The sequence below is a fragment of the Homo sapiens genome, chromosome 8 (genome assembly GCF_000001405.40).
Source record: "Homo sapiens chromosome 8, GRCh38.p14 Primary Assembly".
NCBI lineage: Eukaryota > Metazoa > Chordata > Mammalia > Primates > Hominidae > Homo > Homo sapiens.
Window position 1 is genome coordinate 42,129,749 of NC_000008.11, and position 20,889 is coordinate 42,150,637.

At 43.9% G+C, this 20,889-nt stretch overlaps 1 long non-coding RNA gene across 1 annotated transcript, besides 3 other annotated features; it reads right to left on the reverse strand.

The window, feature by feature from the left end:
- Positions 1 to 9,712: 9,712 nt before the first annotated feature.
- On the reverse strand, positions 9,713 to 11,857 carry LOC107986939 (uncharacterized). Its single transcript, XR_001745885.2, has 2 exons — positions 11,363 to 11,857; positions 9,713 to 11,229 (listed from the first exon to the last, which is right to left on the reverse strand). It is a non-coding gene; the product is annotated as an uncharacterized LOC107986939 (long non-coding RNA).
- Positions 9,960 to 10,019: an enhancer, noted in NCBI's record as "active region_27297". NCBI's record gives its function as "activates an Ori minimal core promoter by ATAC-STARR-seq in GM12878 lymphoblastoid cells {active_cell/tissue: GM12878}" and the evidence as "EXISTENCE:reporter gene assay evidence [ECO:0000049][PMID:35858748]".
- Positions 10,030 to 10,109: an enhancer, noted in NCBI's record as "active region_27298". NCBI's record gives its function as "activates an Ori minimal core promoter by ATAC-STARR-seq in GM12878 lymphoblastoid cells {active_cell/tissue: GM12878}" and the evidence as "EXISTENCE:reporter gene assay evidence [ECO:0000049][PMID:35858748]".
- Positions 11,013 to 11,240: a silencer, noted in NCBI's record as "fragment chr8:41998279-41998506 (GRCh37/hg19 assembly coordinates)". NCBI's record gives its function as "represses an EF-1alpha promoter that drives an FKBP-Casp9 reporter gene in an ReSE screen in K562 erythroleukemia cells {active_cell/tissue: K562}" and the evidence as "EXISTENCE:reporter gene assay evidence [ECO:0000049][PMID:32094911]".
- Positions 11,858 to 20,889: the final 9,032 nt, after the last annotated feature.

Genomic DNA, 20,889 nt, shown 5'->3' on the forward strand with positions numbered 1-20,889 from the left:
CAGTTTCTTCTTTCTTTTTCTCCTTCCTTCTTTTCTCTTCTCTTTTCTTTTGATTATAACCTTCTTAGTGGGTGTAAAGTGACATCTCCTTGTGGTTTTCATTGCCATTTCCCTGTTGACTGATGATTTGGGGCATCTTTTCTTCCACCTATTGGCCACTTGAATATTTTCTTCAGAGAAATGTCTATATAAATCCTTTGCACATTTCAAAATTGGTTATTTATCTTTTTCCTGTTGAATTATAAATGTTCTTTAAATATTCTAGGTACTAGTCCCTTACCTGACACATGATTTGCAAATATTATCCCCCATTTTTGGGTTGTCTCTTTGCCTTCTTGATAGTATCTATTTAACTTGAATAAAGTCCAATATTTCCATTTTTCTTTGCTGCTCATTCTTTTGGTGTCATACCTAAGAAACTACCGCCTAATCCAAAGTCACACAGACTTACACCTATGTTTCCTTCTAAGAGTTTTATAGTTTTAGCTTTTACATTAAGATCTTTAATCCATTTTGAGTTAATTTAAAAACATTTTAGGGCTGGGTGCTGTAGCACATGCCTGTAATCCCAGCACTTTGGAAGGCCAAGGTGGAAAGATCACTTGAGCCCAAGAGTTCGAGACCAGCCTGTGCAACATAGTGAGACCCTGTCTTTACAAAATATAAATAATTATCTGGGCACAGTGGCACACACCTGTAATCTCATCTATGGGGAGGCTGAGGTGGGAGGATCACTTGAGCCCAGGAGGTCAAAGCTGCAGTGAGCCATGATTGCAGCCTGGGTGACAAAGTGAGACCCTGTCTCAAAAAAAAAAAAATTAGTTGTGGAAAAAATACACATAACAAAATGTGCCGTCTTAACAATTTTTGAGTGCATAGTTCAGTAGTGTTAAGTATATTCACATTATTGTACAATCAATCTCCAGAGCTTTTTCCTCTTGCAAAACTGAAATTTTATACCTATCAAGCAACTCCCTACTTTCCCCTCCTCCTAGCTCCTGGCAGCTGTCATTCTCCTCTGTTTCTATGAATTTGCCTACTCTAGATACTAAACGTAATCATACAGTTTTGCCTTTTTGTGACTGGCTTATTTCACTTAGCATAATGTCCTTAAGGTTCATCCCAATGACAGCATTTGTCAGAATTTCCTTCCTTTTAAAGGCTGTATAATATTTTATTGCACCATATATTACCACGAAATAATACCACATTTTGTTCATCCATTTATCCTCAATGGACACATAGGTTGCTTCTACCTTTTGGCTATTGCAAATAATGGAGCTATGGACATAGGTGTACAAATATCTCTTCGAGTTCCTGCTTTCTTTTTTTTTTCTTAAATTCCAGTGGCTTTAGGGGTACATGCGAGTTTGGTTACATGGATGAATTGCATGGGGTGAAGTCTAGGATTTTAGTGTACCCATCACCTGAGTAGTGTGCATTGTACCCAATAGGTAGTTTTTCATCCCTCCCCACTTCCCACACTCCCCCTTTCTGATTCTTTATTGTCAATTATACCATTCTCTATGCCTTTGCATACCCATAGCTTAGCTCCCACTTACCTGCTTTTAATCCCCTGAGGTATATACCAAGAAGTGGAAGTGCTGAATCACATAGTAATTCTATTTTTAATTTTTTGAGGAACTACCATGCTATTCTCCATAGTGGCTACACCATTTTACATTTCCACCAACATTGTACAAAAGTTCCAATTTCTTCACATCCTTATCAACACTTGTAATTTTCTGTCTGATTTTTTTTTAATAGTAGCCATCCTAATGGCTAGGAGATGACATCTCACTGTGGCTTTGCTTTGCATTTCCCTAATGATTAGTGATGCTGAGCACTTTTTATGGGCTTGTTGGCCATTCGTTGTTTTGTTTTGTTTTTATTTTTTCTCTCACTCTGATTGAGACATCATTGGCATTTGTATATCTTCTTTGGAACAATGCATGTTCAGTCCAAGGCTCACTGGGACATAGACAGGCAGGGAATCTTCAGTGCTCACACCTCTAATTTTCTCACCTAGAGATGTGCCTGGGCACAGACATTCTACAGCAGAAAGAGCTCCAGGAGAAGGATTCCACCCCGTGCTGTTTTGCAGGTTTATAGGGGAGTTGGAAAGTTGCAGGGAATGTTGAGTCAGTTAGGCAACAGTGGGAACCTCTTTGGGGAGAAGAAGCTGAGCTGAGGAGCCTCCAGAGCTGAGCTCTTAGTATCAGCCAGAGGCTGCTGGTTCTTCTGTTGAGCTAATTCAGACCTGCTCAGCTAGCTTCTTGATAAATTACTGTAGGGGTGCAGAGGGGGAGGAAAAGGAAGCCCCAGGCCCATTCCAGTTTGCCTCTTTTTATATTACAAAGATTGTAATTAAGAAAATAAGATTCTCTGCCCACCCACACCCACTAAGCCCCACACCCCAAGGCCAGACACTTGCAACTCTTTTACCTATTCATTTCAGGATTATACTTCCATATTCTTTTACAATTATTTCTTGACTCACCCCATCCCTACTTCTTTTTTGTTGTTGTTACTTTACCTATGGATTTTCTATTATACAGGAGGAAGCTTCAGCCTTCCTAAGCCTTCTCCTCCCACATTCTTCTAGTCGTTATATCGCAGTTAATGTTATTATTCAGTACTCATTCATTAATTCATCAGTATTTTTTGAGAGCATACTATGTGTCAGGCACTACTGTAGGTGCTGGAGATTCATTAGTAATCCAAATAAAGTCCCAGTGTTGATGGAGTTTATAACAATTAGTTAAATTATGTTCACTGTTGAGCCAATTAATATGCTATGACGACATTTTTTTTCTTGAGTTACTTTCTGTTTTTCCTGAAGTTAATGATTGCTTTTTGTTTGTTCGTTTGCTCAGGTTTGTATGTACCCAAATCATTCTTCCTTCATTCTTCAACAGAACTTCTCTTTCTTATTCCCCATCTGGTCAAAGGCACCAAGCAACCTATCAATTCTTCCCCTCCTCCTCCTTTTCTTTTTTCTCCACTTTAAAAAATTTGCATCCATGTAGGTTTTAGTTATTTCTTTGTTTTACTGTGGTTGGTTTTCATTCTTTGACCTAGACACTCATTGATTTATTTCAATTTAGATACTCAGTGATTTACTTCCCTTCAGTACTAGGAAATTTACTAGTTAAAAAAAAAACACCCAAAACAACTTCCTTTTCTCTATTTACAATAACATTCCTATTGATAAGGGCCAGGTGCGGTGGCTCATGCTTGTAATCCCAGCACTTTGGGAAGCTGAAGCGGGCAGATCACTTGAGGGCCAGGAGTTCGTGACCAGCCTGGCCAACATGGTGAAACCCCGTCTCTACCAAAAAATACAAAAAATTAGCAAGGCATGGTGGTGTGCACCTGTAGTCCCAGCTACTCTGGAGGTTGAGGCAGAAGAATGGCTTGAACCTGGGAGGCAGAGGTTGCAGTGAGCTGAGATCGCGCCACTGCACTGCAGCCTGGATGACAGAGCGAGACTCTCTCTCATAAAATAAAATAAATTAAAATAAAAATTAGACTTCCTGAATGGTCTTCTATTTCTCCTATATTTTATCTTTTGTTTTCTATACTTTTGTCTTTGTTTCTATACTTTCTGGGGGATTTCCTAGACTTACTCTCCCTAATGTTTTATTGAGTTTTTTATGTAGATAGTCATATTTTAAATTTCTAAAAGTTATTTTCTATCATCTGCTCTCTGTTGCTCCTTGTTTTGTATTATCCTGCTCTCATTCCATGGAGATCACTCTGACGATATTGATAATAGTTTTTATACTTCCTCTTCTTTCTTTTTTTTCTTTTTTGTTTTTTTGAGACAGAGTCTCACTCCCTCGCCCAGGCTGGAGTGCAGTGGCTTGATCTCTGCTCACTGCAAGCTCTGCCTCACAGGTTCAAACAATTTTCTTGCCTCAGCCTCCTGAGTAGCTGGGATTACAGGCCTGTGCAACCATGCCTGGCTAATTTTTGTATTTTTAGTAGAGACAGGGTTTCACCATGTTGGCCAGGCTGGTCTCCAACTCCTGACCTCAAGTGATTTGCTCACCTCGGCATCCTGAAGTGCTGGGATTACAGGCCTGAGCCACCGTGCCAGACTTGTTTCCTCTTCCTCTAATGAAAGATGTCTAATAACTTTTCCAATATCTTCTATGATAATGGACCATTCAGATTTTCCATTTTCTTTTGGGTCATTTCTGGTAATTTACATGCTACTGGAAGTTACCCATTTCCTCTAGATCTTCATATTTGCTGCCACATAATTTTGTGAAGTTAACATTTATATCTTTAATCTCTCCTGTATTCACGGTTATATCTTTCTTATTCTTTTTATTTTTACTTTCCCTCTTTTCAATTTTTTATTTTAATTTTTGTGGGTACATAGCAAGTGTATATATTTATGGAGTACACGAGATGTTTTGATGCAGGCATGCAGTGCATAATAATCACATCGTGTAAAATCGGGTATCTGGCCGGGCCCGGTGGCTCACGCCTGTAATGCCAGCACTTTGGGAGGCGGAGGTGGGCGGATCACGATGTCAAGAGATTGAGACCATCCTGGCCAACATGGTGAAACTGTGTCTCTACTAAAAATAGAAAAATTAGCTGGGCCTTGTGGCGCATGCCTATAGTCCCAGCTACTCGGGAGGCTGAGGCAGGAGAATTGCTTGAACCTGGGAGGTGGGGGTTGCAATGAGCTGAGATCATGGCATTGTACTCCAGCCTGGGTGACAGAGCGAGACTGTCTCAAAGAAACCCATAAATAAGTAAGTAAATAAATAAATAAATAAATAAATAAATGGGATATCCATCCCCTGAAGCATTTATCCTTTATGTTACAAGCAACCCAATTATACTTTTATTAATTTTTATTTTATTTATTTATTTTTGAGATGGAGTATCACTCTGTCGCTCAGGCCAGAGTACAGTGGCGTGATCTGGGCTCACTGCAACCTCTGCCTCCTGGGTTCTAGCAATTCTTCTGCCTCAGCTTCCCGAGTAGCTCAGATTACAGGTGCCAGCCACCACGCCTGGCTAATTTTTGTATTTTAGTAGAGATGGGGTTTCACCATGTTGGTCAGGCTGGTCTCAAACTCCTGCCCTCAAATGATCTTTCTGCCTTGGCCTCTCAAAGTGCTGGGATTATAGGCGTAAGCCACCGTGCCCTGCCCCTCTTTTAGTATTTTTTTAAATGTACAATTAAATTATTATTGACCATAGTCACCCTGTTGTGCTACCAAATACTAGGTCTTATTCATTCTTTCTATTTTTTTGTACTTATTAACTCTCCCCATCTCCCTTACTTTCTCTCTTTTTTGCTTGATCAGTTTTCAATTTCACTTTTTATTGTTATTTTCATTTTCTCTTCTTCAATTTCTTTTTTTTTCTTATTAAGCTAAATACGTAGCTCCTTATGTACTTAATCAAGAGACTTTTTGTGGAGCGGGGGATTAGGTTTAGGGTGTATTAGTATATGAATATGAAATATCAGTATATTAATAGAAAAAATATCAGTAAGCTGAGAAAATTCATTAGGTCTAATTAGCCAAACGTACAATGTTCAGTAGTCACTTCATATTCTTCTCTGCTTGTTTATATGTGTGCAGAAAAGGCTGAGAGGTGGACTGAGTAGAAGCTCAGGGGTAGTTTGGCAGCCGTAGGAAGAGATGGCAATGGATGTTTATTAGGGAAATGAGAAAAAATGAAAGCGGGAACTTCAACATCCTCATGGGTTGAGGCTTTTTGGGAACTTCCGGGAGACGAAAGTGTTCAAAGAGGGCTACTTGGGAGTTAGAAACAATTAAGTAATGGCAATTTAAGTCTGAATGGGAGGAGAACATTCCGCTCACACACACAATTAGTCTTACTATTATTCACTGATAATTTAAGAATAATCCTGGGAATTATTTTAATAGGAAATGTCCAAATGTTTTTCCCAAAGTGTTTTCAAGGCTTAGGAAAAGATCATTAACATTATCATAGCTTATGAATCTCATCTTGTATTTTTATTATTCATAGAATCCTTATGATCTTAATTGAGGTATTTTTTGGGGGAGAGGGTATATACGTTTTTACCTAAGTTCTAATATTTTCTCAATTTTGTTTTGTCCTCCAGAAAATTGGAGAAAAGACAGCTTTCAGACCGGAATCTAATTTTTTCCCAGCATTTGATTAGAAAAAACTTCAAACATACAGGAAATTCGTAAGACATGTACAGTAAATGGCTGGGTGCGGTGGCTCACACCTGCAATCCCAGCACTTTGGGAGGCCGAGGTGGGAGGATCACTTGATCCCAAGAGTTAGAGACTAGCCTGGACAACATGGTGAAACCATGTCTCTACTAAAAATACAAAAATTAGCCAGGTGTGGTGGTGCGTGCCTGTAGTCCCAGCTACTTGGGAGGCTGAGACACAAGAATTGCTTGAACCTGGGAGGCAGAGGCTGCAGTGAGTGTCACTGCACTCCAGCCTGGGTGACAGAGCGATACTTCATTTCAAAATAAATAAATAAAAATAAAAATTAGCCGGGTGTGGTGGTACACACCTGTAGTCCAGCTACTCAGGATGCTGAGGTGGGAGGATGGCTTGTGCAGCACAGCAGGTGGAGCCTGCAGTGAGCCACTGAACTCCAGCCTGGCCAACAGAGAGAGGCCCTGTCTCCAAAAAATATAAAAAATAAAAAATAGAAGAATAAGAGAGAAAAGAAAAAATAAATGTACAATAAACACCTATATACCCACCACCCAGATTCTATAATCAGAACCTAACTTTTACTAGCTAGAATTAACATTTGTCTAGACCTACAAGTGATATTGAGTAGTGATAGCTCTATCATAATTACATAGACGTACTCTGTTTCTGCTGGTAAGCCCAGTGCTTCATAAGAGTTTTGTACTGTGGCCAATTTCATGAGTGTTTTAAACAAGCCAACACAGGTCAGCTGTTAGCTGGGTGGAGGAGCTTCTAGAGAGTTCTTCCCAGCTTAAAAAAACAAAATTTCAAAGTCATCTGGCATGCTGCCTAAAGACACCCACAGCTTTTGGCTCTTAGAAGCAGGTGATGTCCATAAGCATAACCTTGGATTTCTGGTTGTGCAACAAGGAGCAACTGCCACCTCTCTGGGGCAGAAGGTGACAGAGACAGTGACAAGAGGAGGGGTAGCTGGAATTCATATCCCTTCACATCAGTTTCACTAAAAGTTCCACCCTGCAATTGGTGGCCATGGTCCCGACAGAGAGCCCTGTCCTCTTCTACAAATTCACACAATCTTCTGTATGTTTTCTAGAGCCATTAAAGCTTTTTTAAAAGGAGCACTGTTCTTTGAAATCTAAGGAAAACTGGCAATCATCTCTCTAAGCCAGTTCCAAGTACCGTATATATATCTCAAGCCATAATAATTACTTCATTTTGGCAAAACATCATCTATCCTTGGCTTATTTCTTTTCCTGGAACGTCTTTGCTTAAGAATAGAGTCAGGAGCAAAGGATGTGTGCTCATAGGTAAGCTAGCTCCTTCTCACAGAAAAACCAACCAAAAAACAAAACCAAAGAAGAGTCCTATTTCTTCTCAGCCTTTTGGCTCCGATCAAGCGTCGAAAAGAGGCTTTGTGGTTGAATGAAATCCATACCATATTCATCCTGTTAAAAACAGGTGTTATTTCCCCAAATGCTAAAGCTCTTTAGGTCAGCACTGAATATGCAATTTTGTTTTTGTTTTTGTTTTTGAGACGGAGTGCCACTCTCTTGCCCAGGCTGGAGTGCAGTGGCGCGATCTCAGCTCACTGCAATTTCTGCCTCCTGCGTTCAAGTGATTCTCCCACCTCAGCCTCCCAAGTAGCTGGGATTAGAAGGCACTCACCACCATGCCTGGCTAATTTTTGTAGTCTTAGTAGAGACAGGAGTCTCACCATATTGGCCAAGCTGGTCTTAAACTTCTGACCTCAAATAATCCGCCCACCTTGGCCTCCCAAAGTGCTGGGATTACAGGTGTGAGCCAACGCCCCTGGCCTGAATACGCAATTTTGAACAGGAATGGAGTACTTGGGTGAATATGAAAATAACACATTTAGAATGGGGCTGGTATTTTTAAATTCTAAAAGTTTTATTCTCTTTTGCCTTTCTGAGTACATGACCATCACTCTAGAACAAGGATCAGCAAACATTTCTGTAAAGGTCCATTTAGTCAATAATTTTGGTTGTTGCAAGTACTCAACTCTGCCATAGTAGCAGAGAAGCAGCCATAGACAACACAAACAAATGAGCTTGGCTGGACTCCAATCAAACTTTAGTTATGGACTGAGATGAAGACTACATCAGCTATACCTGCTATACTTTGCAACTGTTTCCTCAAAGGTAATCTAGTTCTCAACCTTTAGACACCTTTTATTCAATTCATGAAACCATAGGATGACAGACAGTCATACTGAGCCTGAATTTTCACCATAATTTTAAAAGTAATAAGTAGGGTAGAGGTTAAAAACTTAAGTTTTAGAGTCAGTCAGAAGTGAATTCAAATCCAGACTCTGTGGCTTTCTTAGTTGTGTTATATCAGGTAAACTGAAGAATGTTTCTACGTTTCTTCATTTGTGAAATAGGGAAATTGTTTTGAAGATTAAAAGAAATAATGCATATCAAACTCTTTTTTTTTTTTTTTGAGACTGAGTCTCAATCTGTTGCCCTCTTGGCTCACTGCAGCCTCAGCCTACCAGGTTCAAGTGATTCTCCTGCCTCAGCCTCCCAAGTAGCTGGGACTACAGGCCCATGCCACCATGCCCGGCTAATTTTGTATTTTTAGTAGAGTTGGGGTTTCGCCATGTTGGCCAAGCTGGTCTTCAACTCCTGACCTCAAGTGATCCACCCTTCTCGGCCTCCCAAAATGCTGGGATTACAGGCGTAAGCCACTGCTCCCAGACTGCATATCAAACTCTAAACCCAGTGCTCAATAAGGCACACAGTAAATTCTCAATAGATGTTAACTTACTATCATTAGTCAGTGAAGTCATTGCTAAGTAATGATTATTTTTATCTGTGTAGAAAGATCATCCATGGCCAGGCTCGGTGGCTCCCACCTGTAATCCCAGCACTTTGCGGGGTCAAGGTAGGTAGATCACCTGAGGTCAGGGGTTCGAGATCAGACTGACCAACATGGTGAAACCACATCTCTACTAAAAATACAAAAAAAAAAAAAATTAGCTGGGCGTGGTGGCGGGTGCCTGTAGTCCCAGCTACTCCGGAGGCTGAGGCAGCAAAATCACTTGAACCAGGGAGGCGGAGCTTGCAGTGAGCCGAGATCGCACCACTGCACTGCAGCCTGGGTAACAGAGCTTGACTCGTCTCAAAAAAAAAAAAAAAATCTATGACATTTGGTGTTCAATAGTCCATTTCACTGATTATATACCATTTTGTAACTAGGAAAATTTCCCTAATGTCATGTTTGTTTAATGTGAGATCCCTATGATTAATGTGATATAATAATAGATGGGTTATACAGCAGGCTCCTTGAATGACAGCTGGCTCCGTCCGTCTCGGCACCACAGGAAGGCAGGAAAGAAGTGTATCTTTTCATCTCTAACTTGCCACTGTCACTACCTTTACATATCTGTGGGCTAATAGCATTTGTGCATATATATTTTAAAAATTAATATTTATTAAAGCACTAAAAATGAGTTCAGATGCTTTATGGAGAGTGGCACATCTCATTAGACAGTGTTCAAGCAAATGCAACTTTATTTCAAAGTTCTTTTTTCTTTACAGGTAAAGACATAGTATAAACGGCAAAATTCAAAAGGTGCAGAAGATTCTAGTACGGTGAAAAGCAAGTTTTCTTTCTCTCCTCCACTCCTAGTCCCACAGTGACCATCCTAAGAAGCAACCACTTCCAGAGATGCAAACACACATACCACATACACACAGCCCTACTCACACTCTTCTGCACTTTATTACTTAGAATACACCGGAAAATTTCCACGTCTCAGCAAATACAGCTGCCCTGTACTCTTTAATGGCAGCTTAGTGTTCCCTCAGAGGGATGCGCCCCATATCATTCACCCAGCCCCCAGGGACGGGCTTTTAGGTTGTTTCCAGCTGCTTGCTCTTACAAGCAACATTGCAACGCTGCCCTGTTACTTTTAATCTTCTTTATCCTGTGATTCCGTTCTGCTTTTCCTTCCAGCACGACTGCAAAGTGACTGCGGGGTTTTCCCGAGTGCCCTCGCCCCAGACCTCAGCGAGTTATTTGTGGAGTCACCGGGTCCTGCTCCGCATTGTTATTCGAAGTCTCCCCGGGACAGCGGGGAGCAGGCGGAGCTGCGTGTCCCGGCCTGCGCGTCTGGGCCCAGGCGGGCGCGCGTCGCGCTCGGATTTCGGGCGGATAGTGCGTGGGAGGCGGCGCTGCCCTCCGTATGCAGCGCGCGTGCAGCCAAGGCGGCGCTGCGATCTGCGGCCTGGGGCCCTGGTGTGAAACTCCCGCGGAGACGCTCCCAGCCCCGGGCCGCAGCTCGCCCCTGCACGGAGGGAGGTGTCTAAAGGTGTCTCTTAGGAACAGGCACAACCCGAGCAGCCGGGCCCCAGAACAATGGGTGCTTTCAGCCGCCCCTTTAGATGCCTGGCCCGTCACCATGGCAACCACCCCATTATTGAAAGTCAGTGCCGGTCCCCGCCTTAGACGCTCTCCTCCCGGGCTCCCCTCCCCCGCCGGCCCCGCCGTATGGTGTGTGTGTCACTGGCAGCTGTTGTCAAAAGAAGGCACCTCTTTGTCTCCAGGGGATGAAAGCCATTTGGTTTCCAGCGCCACCCTTTCTCTCCGCCCGGCAACTTTTCTCCGCGTCCCGTCCCCAAGGCGTCCCTGGATGCGCGCGCTCGGCCCCGCGCCCGCCACCCGCGCTGAGTGCTGGTATCCTCCCCATCACTCAGCCCAGAGCCGTTCTGCCTCTGCCTCAAACTCTCAGAGTCCTTATAAGTCTTATTCTCAAGAGTTGTGTCCCAGCGAAGGGAATCCGCCTTGGAAATCGCGGCTTCCTCCTTGCACGCCGCTCGCTGTTTCAGCGCAAGCCGGATCTCCCCTCACACCCAACAGCACCACCTTCCGAGACTAGCGGCTCATTACCGCCCAGTCCCCGCGGCCGGCGCAAGAACTCCTCGCCGGGCCCCATTCCAGGCTGGGTCGGGTCTTTAGAATAAGGACCAGTTGTGTGTCTCCCTGTCGCTGGCAGCGGATCACTTTCTGGCTGAAGAAAAGACAAAACGACGAGGGAAACAATAGGACCTGTATGTTTTACACACAGTTCTCATTCGAAATGTATCATGATCATATTTTTAAAGATGCGTGTTACCTTTCATAAATACCTAAATAAAACTTACTTTCTGTTGTCTGCGGAGGAACTTGATAAACATTAAAAAAGCAAGAATATCTTTGGTGGCCATGTGTCTGGGATGTGGGGTTCACCTATCATCTGCCCCAGGGATCCTAAGAGGGGAACAGATGGTGTTTTCAAAACCTATCTGGAAATTAAAAAGGTTACGGTGCTGAGAGGAAGAGCAGAGTCCAAGAGGAGGGGGCTGTGAGAGAGAAACGCAGAGAGAGGATAAAGCTAGGACTTCCAGTTATTCTGTAAAGACAAACTTGAGATGCTGTGTGGGTAGGAAAAATAGAGGCGTCATAAAACTTCACTGATACTGAAAAGTGTAACTACTAGAGGAAGAAATTTAAGGATAATTTGTTCAGAACTCAGTCTATATTTTCAAATAAAGTTTAAAAATAATTACCAAATGATAAACACATTTTTAAAACTTTGTAAATGCTAAAAGTATGACAAGTAAAGAAAAGCAGGTGACTGACAAGAGGTAAGTTGTTCTGGTCTTTGCTTTCAATAACTATCCGTTCCATTTGATAAACAGGATGCAGGCGAGTCTGACACACAGGAAACAAGTGTTTGCAAAGCCCAGGGGTGTGTTTCCCTCTGCGTACAAGTGTTATCTGAGTAACTGTCTAGAAAATAGTAAGTATGTTACCCTGAAAACGTTTCCTGACAGTCCAACCTCTTTTCCTTTCCGATAAATTCTGGAGAAAATTCTGTCATTCTTCCATGAGATTTGATGAGTATTTCTCCAGTCATTTCAAATGAGGGTTTATTATGCAGTGTCAAAATTTGAAACGCTAGTTATTTAATGCGATGGGTTTGGTAAAAAGTGCGTAAGATTGTTATTACCAAGTAAAAGCAATTTTCCATATCTGATGGTAATCTCTGATTTTTAACCAATAAATGCGTCATTTTATTTTGTTGAAGTCACACATGGAACTATGTAGAAGTGAGCTCCACGGAACTCAGGGGCCACCATGGGAATGAAGACCGAGGCCAAGCAGACATTGCTCCGGAATTCTATTGCTGCGTCCTCTGGAGCACCTCTGCTTGATCTTTTTTGTTGGTTGATTGGTTGGTTGGTTGGTTGGCTGGTTTTGTCTTCAGAGATAGAGTCTTGCTATGTTGCCCAGAATGGTCTTGAACTCCTGGGGTCAATCGATCTGCCCGCAGCTTCCTGAGTAGTTGAGAATACAGGTGTGTGCTGTCTCACCCAGCTCTTCATCTGTTTTCTATGAAACCTTCCATTTGTCTAAAATATTTCACTTAATTAAAATAAAAGTTGCCCTGGTGTGGTGGCTCACACCTGTAATCCCAGCACTTTGGGAGGCCGAGGCGGAAGGATCTCTTGAGCCCAGGAGTTCAGCACCAGCCTGGGCAATATAGTGAAACCCTCATCTTTTAAAATAAAAAAAATTAGCCAGGCATGGTGGTGCACACCTGTGGTCCCAGCTACTCTGAAGGCTGAGGTTGGAGGATGGCTTGAGTCAAGGACGCAGAGGTTGCAGTGACCAGAGATCACACCACTGTACTTTAAGCCTGGTCAACAGAGCCAGACCCTCTCTTAAAAAAAAAAAAAATGACCACTAGAATTGTAGCGTTGGGAAAGATCTTAAAGATAATTTAGTTCAATCCTCTCATTTTACGACCCATGAGACCCAAGGACCTCCCTAGGTAACCTCCTGAGGTCACACCGCCAGTTTGTGGTGACCCTGTCACCACGCAGATGACCCTGTGATTGCTTATCATCCCCACAATGCTTTCAGACATGACTCTTACCCTGACATCACGTACTGTACCTTGTTTTCACAACGGACATGTTTCTGTCTTGTCTTCTAACAAGATTAAATAAAAAGTCGAGCACTGTGGCTTGTGCCTGTAATCCCAACTCAGGAGGCTGAGGCTGGAGGATCGCTTGAGACCAGCAGCTCAAGGCCAGTGTCAGCAGCAGAGCAAGACCCTGTCTCAAAAAAAAAAAAATTAAGTAAAGTCTGTTTTGTGGAACCTTCCTGTTTTCCAGTCCACCTTACCTAAGCCCTCCAATTCTAGACTTTAATTAAAATATTCAGTCTATTCATTGATTGTAATCACACTTCACTTTGTTAGTTGCCTATTGGATATCCATTCTCCTGTCTTCCTTATTCACAGAATCCATTTTGGAAGTGGGAGTGGGGGCAGTAATGTGCCCAGCTAAGAACAATCCCAGGACCTCCTTTAACATAATATTATCTGAACAAGAGAGTACCAGTGGGATTCAGGAAAAGTCCCTTAAAGGGAGCCTATGCAGTTGGCTCACACCCATTTGCTCTTTATCTTTTTTTGCCTGGAATATAGCTTGATGCCTGGAGCCACGGCAACAATGTTATGCACATGAGGATGAAAGCTCCACCCCCAGGAAGGGTAGGATGACAAGCTAAGAGATGCCTGAGTCCATGATGGAAGCTGCCATTCCAGCTCTGGATTTATGAACTTCTTGACATCTCATGATGTGGAGAGAAAACTAAACCCCTATCTTGTTTAAGCCAGTGTTATTTGGCTTTTCTGTTACATGTAGCTAAGCATAATCCCCATGGGCTCCAATTTAGGATAAGAATAAAGGAGAATTAGGGGGCCTGGCACAGTGGCTCACCCCTGCAACCCTAGCACTTTGGGAGGTCGAGGCAGGCAAATTGCTTGAGTCCAGTTCGAGACCAGCCTGGGCAATGTTGTGAAACCCTGTCTCTACAAAAAAAATAGAAAAATTAGCTGGGCATGGTGACCACACACCTGTAGTCCCACCCAGCCCAGAGGCTGAGGTGGGAGGATCACTTAAGCCCGGGAGGTGAAGGCTGCAGTAGTGAGCCAAGATTGCGCCACTGTACTCCAGCCTGGGTGAGAGTGAGACCATGTCTCAAAAAAAAAAAAAAAAAAAAGGTAGGATTAGGAATTCAGTTTTTTAAGGAAAACTTACTAGCTACTCATCTAGTAGCCTGTACATACAAATCACAGGGCTGTAGTATAGTAATTCATTCACTTAGTCTTATAATAAAATAATCTCTTCCCCTTACCCCCTGCCTCTGGCTACTATATGTGTATGTCTCTTGTCCAGATGCTATTATAGATCCATGTATGGTAAGAACTAAACTTTCAAGTGCAACCTTGACATTCTTGAAGATCACAGGGCCTGAATGCTTGTGAATTCCCCTCATCTTAGCAGACATCCCTGGCTAATTCTGTCAGCAGGACAAGCTGCACCCCATGCAGTTCTCAACCTAATGAGCTTCACCTTCCTATTAGCCCGCGAAATAATTCAAACAAACCAATCACATGCTCCAATGGGAACCAAGGGCCATCCTGCCCTCTTGTCTCTACCAAGGCTGCCTCTCTGGGGGTTTGCTCTACTCCAGAATGCAGCCCCCACCATCCACAATCTCCTCCTCCTGCAGCTGTGAGTTTACATTGTGAATAAACTGCTATCAACCTCATCCGTCCAGGGCCAGGTGTCATGTGTTTGGCTATCTTGTACTTTTTAGGGCAGGGATACCCCTCATTCACCAACAGTGGAAGGTGATCAGAACAGCCCATGTAAGCCACAAACATTTATTTATTTAAAATTTTAGATTCAGGGGTACAGGTGCAGGTTTGTTACATGAGTATATTGCATGATGCTGAGGCTTTAATGATCCCGTCAGCCAAGTAGTGAGCACAGTACCCATAGGTAGTTTTTTGACCCTTGACTTCCTCCCTTTCCCCTGCTTTTGGGATCCCAGTGTTTATTGTTCCCATCTTTGTGTCTGTGTGTACCTAACATTTAGCTCCCACTTACAAGTGAAAACATGCAGTATTTGCTTTTCTGTTTCTGCATTAATTTGCTTAGGATAACGGCCTCCAGCTGCATTCATGTTGCTACAAAGGACATGATTTCACTCTGTTTTATGGCTACATAGTATTCCACGGTGTATATGTACCACATTTTCTTTATCCAATCCACCATTGATGGGCACCTAGGTTGATTCCATGTCTTTGCTATTGTGAATAGCACAGTGATGAACATACAAGTGCATATGTCTTTTTGGTAGAACAATTTATTTCCTTTGGGTATATGCCCAGTAATGGGATTGCTGGATTGCATGGTAGTGCTATATTAAGTTCTTTGAGAGATCCCCAAACTGCTTTTCACAGGGCAACAAACATTTACTGAAACCTCCTGAATGCCAGATATTGTGCTAGGCAATGGCTACAAAGGTGAGCAGGACAGACACAGTGCCTGACCTCAGGGGGCACATACTCTAGTGGGGAAGACTGACAAAGAAGAAAAGACCACAGATAAATAAACACAGTAATTACAAGCTTCGATGGGTATTATAAAGAATAGAGACAGAATACTTAGGGTGGTAGAGGAAGACAAAGATGGGGGGTAGATTTAGACAAGGTGCTTAATGGAAGACTCCCTGAGAAGGTACCATAAAGGAAGACTTAAAGGAAGAACAGGAGCTTCCAAACAGAGGAAAGAGCATATTCTAGGCCCAGAGCTGAGAGTGGGGGTGAGTGGTGGAGGGGTGTGGCAAGAGATTCAACTGGAGAGATCGAGAGGACAGATAAGTGTTAAAGGTAGTCAGGTGTGGTGGCATGCCTGTAGTCCCATTTACTCAGGAGGCTGAAGCGGGAGTATTGCTTGAGTCCAGGAGTTCAAGGCTGCAATGAGTTATGATCACATCACTGCACTCCAGCCTGGGCAACACAGTGAGACCCTGACTCTAAGCGGGGAAAAAAAAGAAGTAGTAAAGGCATTTTTGATTTAATGCCATGGGAATGCATTGATGGGTTCCAAGCTGCACATAACTGTTTACAGTTTTAAAAGCTCACTTTTGCTGCTGTATAGAAAATGGATTGGAGGGGTGAGAGTAGAAATGGGAGACCAGTATGGCAGCGGTTATCATCTTTCAGGGAAGTGGTGATTGTGGCCTGGACTAAAGTGATGACATTGCATTGGAGAGATTCTGAATTCCTGATGTACATTGAAGATAGAATCCACAGGGTATGCTTCTGATTACATGAGGGGATGAGGGTAATGGAGGACTTGAGGATGACTCATGGGTTTGAGTAGCTGGATGGATGGTGGTATTGTTTACTAAGCTGGGGAAAACAGTTGAGGTTGGAGATACATCGAGAGCTGTCATCATTAAAAGGGTATTACACTCATGAAGCCATCTAGGGAGAGTGCAGAGAAAGAACCGCGGAGCGTCTACTAACAAGCCACAGAATAATGCCATGCCCCTGAGGTGAGGGTGTGGCCTCATGATTGGATATTCTTGTGGCTAATCATCTGGGGAAGGGACCATTTGGTGCAATAATTATGTCCCTCAGGAGACTGGAACCAGGAGGCCAGCCTGAGGCCACCAGGAGAGGGAGGCTGCTGTCTCCTTGTCAGACAAGGTTTGGATTTCAGGAACTCCAGATGGCTTGCCGGGGCTCCTAGGTGAGAGGAGGTACACAGCATCCCTGTCCCCTGGAAGCAGGTGTGCATCCCATAGAGACATCTAAGATGCCCGGATTGGATCACATTTGTGAGCTACATTTTTAGTTGCATGTTACTCTTTCTGCTCACTTCCTTTCTGTTATCTTCAAGTCTTTTTTTTTTTTTTTTTTGAGACTGAGTCTCGTTCTATCACCCAGGCTGGAGTGCAATGGCACGATCTTGGCTCACTGCAAACTCTGCCTTCCAGGTTCAAGCCATTCTCATGCCTCGGCCTCCCGAGTAGCTGGGATTACAGGTGGCCGCCACCATGCCCAGCTAATTTTTGTATTTTTAGTAGAAATGGGTTGGCCAGGCTGGTCTCGAACTCCTGACCTCAAGTGATCCGCCCACCTCTGTCTCCCAAAATGTTGGGATTACAGGCGTGAGCCACTGTGCTCGGCCTATCTTCAAGTCTTTAGACAAGCTTTGGATAAATGTCCATCCTGGTCTCTGCTCTGCTATAGGAAATTAAACAAACAACAAAAAATAGTGTGTCTTAAATGCCATTGAAGAGTTAAAGGGATACTGACCCTCCCAAAACCAGTATGGTGGTGGGAGCTGCAGCCAGCAGTGAGAGGTCCCTAAGGGGAAAGCGGATCTCTTTTTCTAGAGTAGGGCGTCAGGTTCAGTCTCTCCTCTCCACATGGACAGGCTCCTTTCATGGCCAGGCTTAAAGGAGCTGGTTTTTTTTTTTTTTTTTTTTTGAGATGGAGTCTCCCTCTGTGGCCCAGGCTGGAGTGCAGTGGCGTGATCTTGGCTCACTGCAACTTCTGCCTCCTGGGTTCAAGTGATTCTCCTGCCTCAGCCTCCCCGAGTAGCTGGGACTATAGGTGCATGCCACCACACTGGGCTAATTTTTTTTTTTTCTATTTTTAGTAGAGACAAGGTTTCACCATGTTGGCCAGGCTGGTCTCGAACTCTTGACTTCAGGTGATCCACCCGCCTTGGCCTCCCAAAGTGCTGGGATTACAGGTGTGAGCCACGGCGCCCGGCCTGGTTTTGATAAGGGGAGCAGTCTACACTTTAAATCCCCCCTCCACTTGACTGTATGTTCCTTGAAGTAACATAGAGTACCGCATCTTTGTACCCGCAGTGTCCAGGAGGTTGTAAGCACTCCATCACTGTTAGTTTAATAGGTGATTGTTCACTAGACATTGTGAGACACACTGTGGTTTCCCAAAGAGCTTAGAATCCAGATTTGGTCAGCAGATGCACATGTTGATGCATGGCAGAGTGTGCCCGCTCTGTAGGTTACATGAAAGAGCTGGGAAATGCTCTTTGATCACAGAGGAGGGAAACATTACTCCCAGTGTGGGGGCAAGAAGCTTCAAACAGACTTTGTGGAGGAGGAAACATATGGCTGGGCCTTGCGGGCTGGAGCGAATTTCCAAAATAGGATGAGTAAAAGACAAACATGTGCCAGGTAGAGGGCTCCGTGAGAAGGGAGGCATGAGGAGAAGGCATTCCATTGCTTCAGTGCATGACCGGTAGTGAGGTGTGTTGCAAGGAGAGCATACGTGTGAACAGGGAGGAAGTGGCAAAGACGCAGAAATGATGTTGCAGCTCTGAAAAAAATGTCTTTCTGGGTGGGCAAGGCCTCTCTTGTCTCAGACCAAAAATGAAATATAAATAAATAAATAAATAAATGGTTCCCAGTGAATCCTGATAGCTAGGATTAACTTTTTATGGTAGAAAAATTTCTCAGCAGTGAGAGCTGTTAAACATTAGAATGGTTTGTGAGTGGCAGCTTTAGGAAATCTTTCCCTAGAGATTTTTATGCACAAAATAGACTGACTTATCATTTGTCAATGATTTCCTGTGGCCTCTCTTAAAGTCATGGGAAAGTATTACATGAGCTCTCAGATTCTATGTTACTTGATTCAATTCAACAAACACTTGAGTGTCAACTTGGTTCATGCCCCCAGGCATTGCTATATACTGGATTCATGCGCCCTCCCCGCAAGGGGCCTCTCTTCCAGTGATCCCCATCTCAACACATGATGCTTCCATCCATGTCATTGCCCGAATCAGAAACCTACTCTGCCTCACCACTGACATTCCATTAATCCCTAATCCCTATCTTCTCTGGAAGGTGTCCACTTCTCTCTAATCCCTGCCTCATGGCTCCAGGCACTAGCTCTCTCCTAGGGATTACTGCAATTGTCTAAATAACCTCCCAGCCTCCAGGCTCAGCCTGTTACAGTCCATCCTGCACACATAGTCTTTCTGAAATGGAAATCTGAAAGTGTGCCACTCTCCTGCTTCACATTTCTTCAATGGGTTCCTGGGCTTAGAGGTAGGAAGTGTGGAATCTGAGCCATTCTGCTCAGATCTTCCAACGTCCTTGAATCACAGCTTTGCTGTTCGACCTTGGGCAGTTATTTAAGCTGTCTTTGCAGCTTCCTCATCTACGAAAAGGGGATCACAACGGTAATTCATTTTAGAGTAGTTGGGGGGATTAAATGATTTCAGATCCTCCTCTCTTATGTGAACTCTTAAATTTGGAGTGTCCCTGGAATCTGGTTCTCTTATCTCTCCACACTCCTTCCCTCGGTCATCTCAACAGGTCCTACTACTTTAAATATCCATATACTGAAAACACCCAAATTTATATCTCAAGCTCAGCCCACTCTCCTGAACCCTGGACTTATATGTCCAGCTGCCTTCTCAACATCTCCACTTGGATAGTTAATGGAGCTCACAGATATATTGATATACTTTGGATGTTTGTCCCCTCCAAATCTCATGTTGAAATGTGATCCCCAGTTTTGGAGGTGGGTCTAGCAGGTGTCATGGGGTTGGATCCCTCGTGAATGGCTTGGTGCCCTCCCCATGGTAATGAGTGAGTTCTCACTCTGTTGGTTTATGAGAGAGCTGGTTGTTTAAAGGAGCCTGGCACCTCCTCTCTCTCACTCCTGCTTTCACCATGCAACTGCCCGCTCCCCTTTCACCTTCTGCCATGAGTAAAAGCTTCCTGAGGCCTCACCAGAAGCTGAGCAGATGCTGGTGCCACGCTTGCATAGCCTACAGAACCATGAGCCAAATAAACCTCTTTTTTTTTAATATTATAAATTACCGAGTCTCAGGTATTCCTTTATAGCAAGCTTGTCCAGCCCAAGGCCCATAGGCTGCATGCGGCCCAGGATAGCTCTGAATGCAGCCCAACACAAACTCATAAACTCTCTTAAAACATTATCAGATTTGTGATTGCTTTTTTTTTTTTTTTGAGACGGAGTCTTGCCTTATTGCCCAGGCTGGAGTGCAGTGGCACAATCTTGGCTCACTGCAACTTCCACCTCCCAGGTTCAAGCAATTCTTTTGTCTCAGCCTTCCGAGTAGCTGGGATTACAGGTGTTCGCCACCACACCCGGCTAATTTTTGTATTTTTAGTAGAGACAGGGTTTCACCATGTTGGCCAGGCTGGTCTCGAACTCCTGACCTCAGGTGATCCACCTGCCTCAGCCTCCCAAAGTGCTGGAATTACAGGCATGAGCCACCGTGCTTGGCCTACCCATAGTCTTTCTAGTCTCAGCTGATGAAACTATCCTTCTCCATGCTGAAGCTCAGTGGCCCTCCCTTCTCTCTTGTTCTCACTCCCTGCATCCCATCCATCTGGAAATCCAGCTGGCTCCTCCTGGAGACTACACGCACAGTCCACCTCCTCCTCACCACCTCCATGGCTACAGCCTGGTCTGAGCTCCATCACCTCTCGCCTGGGTCACTGCAGCGGTCTCACTAGTCTTCTTGCACAGTCTTCTCAACCCAGATGACTGATAAATCAGATCCTATCACCCCTTTGTCCAAACCCTCCATGGGCTCTCTCTTTCACAACCATAATCTTTAAAAGAGCTTTCTAGCCCCTGTGTGATCAGGCCACCCACCCTGTAACCTTGTCTCCTCCTTTACCCTGCGCTCATTTCACTCCAGCCACACTGTCACCCTTCCTGCTCCAGAAACTCCCCAGGAGCATTCTGGCCTTACAGGCTTTGCAGTGCCTGTTCCCTTTGCTGGAATGCTCTCCCCCAAGATCT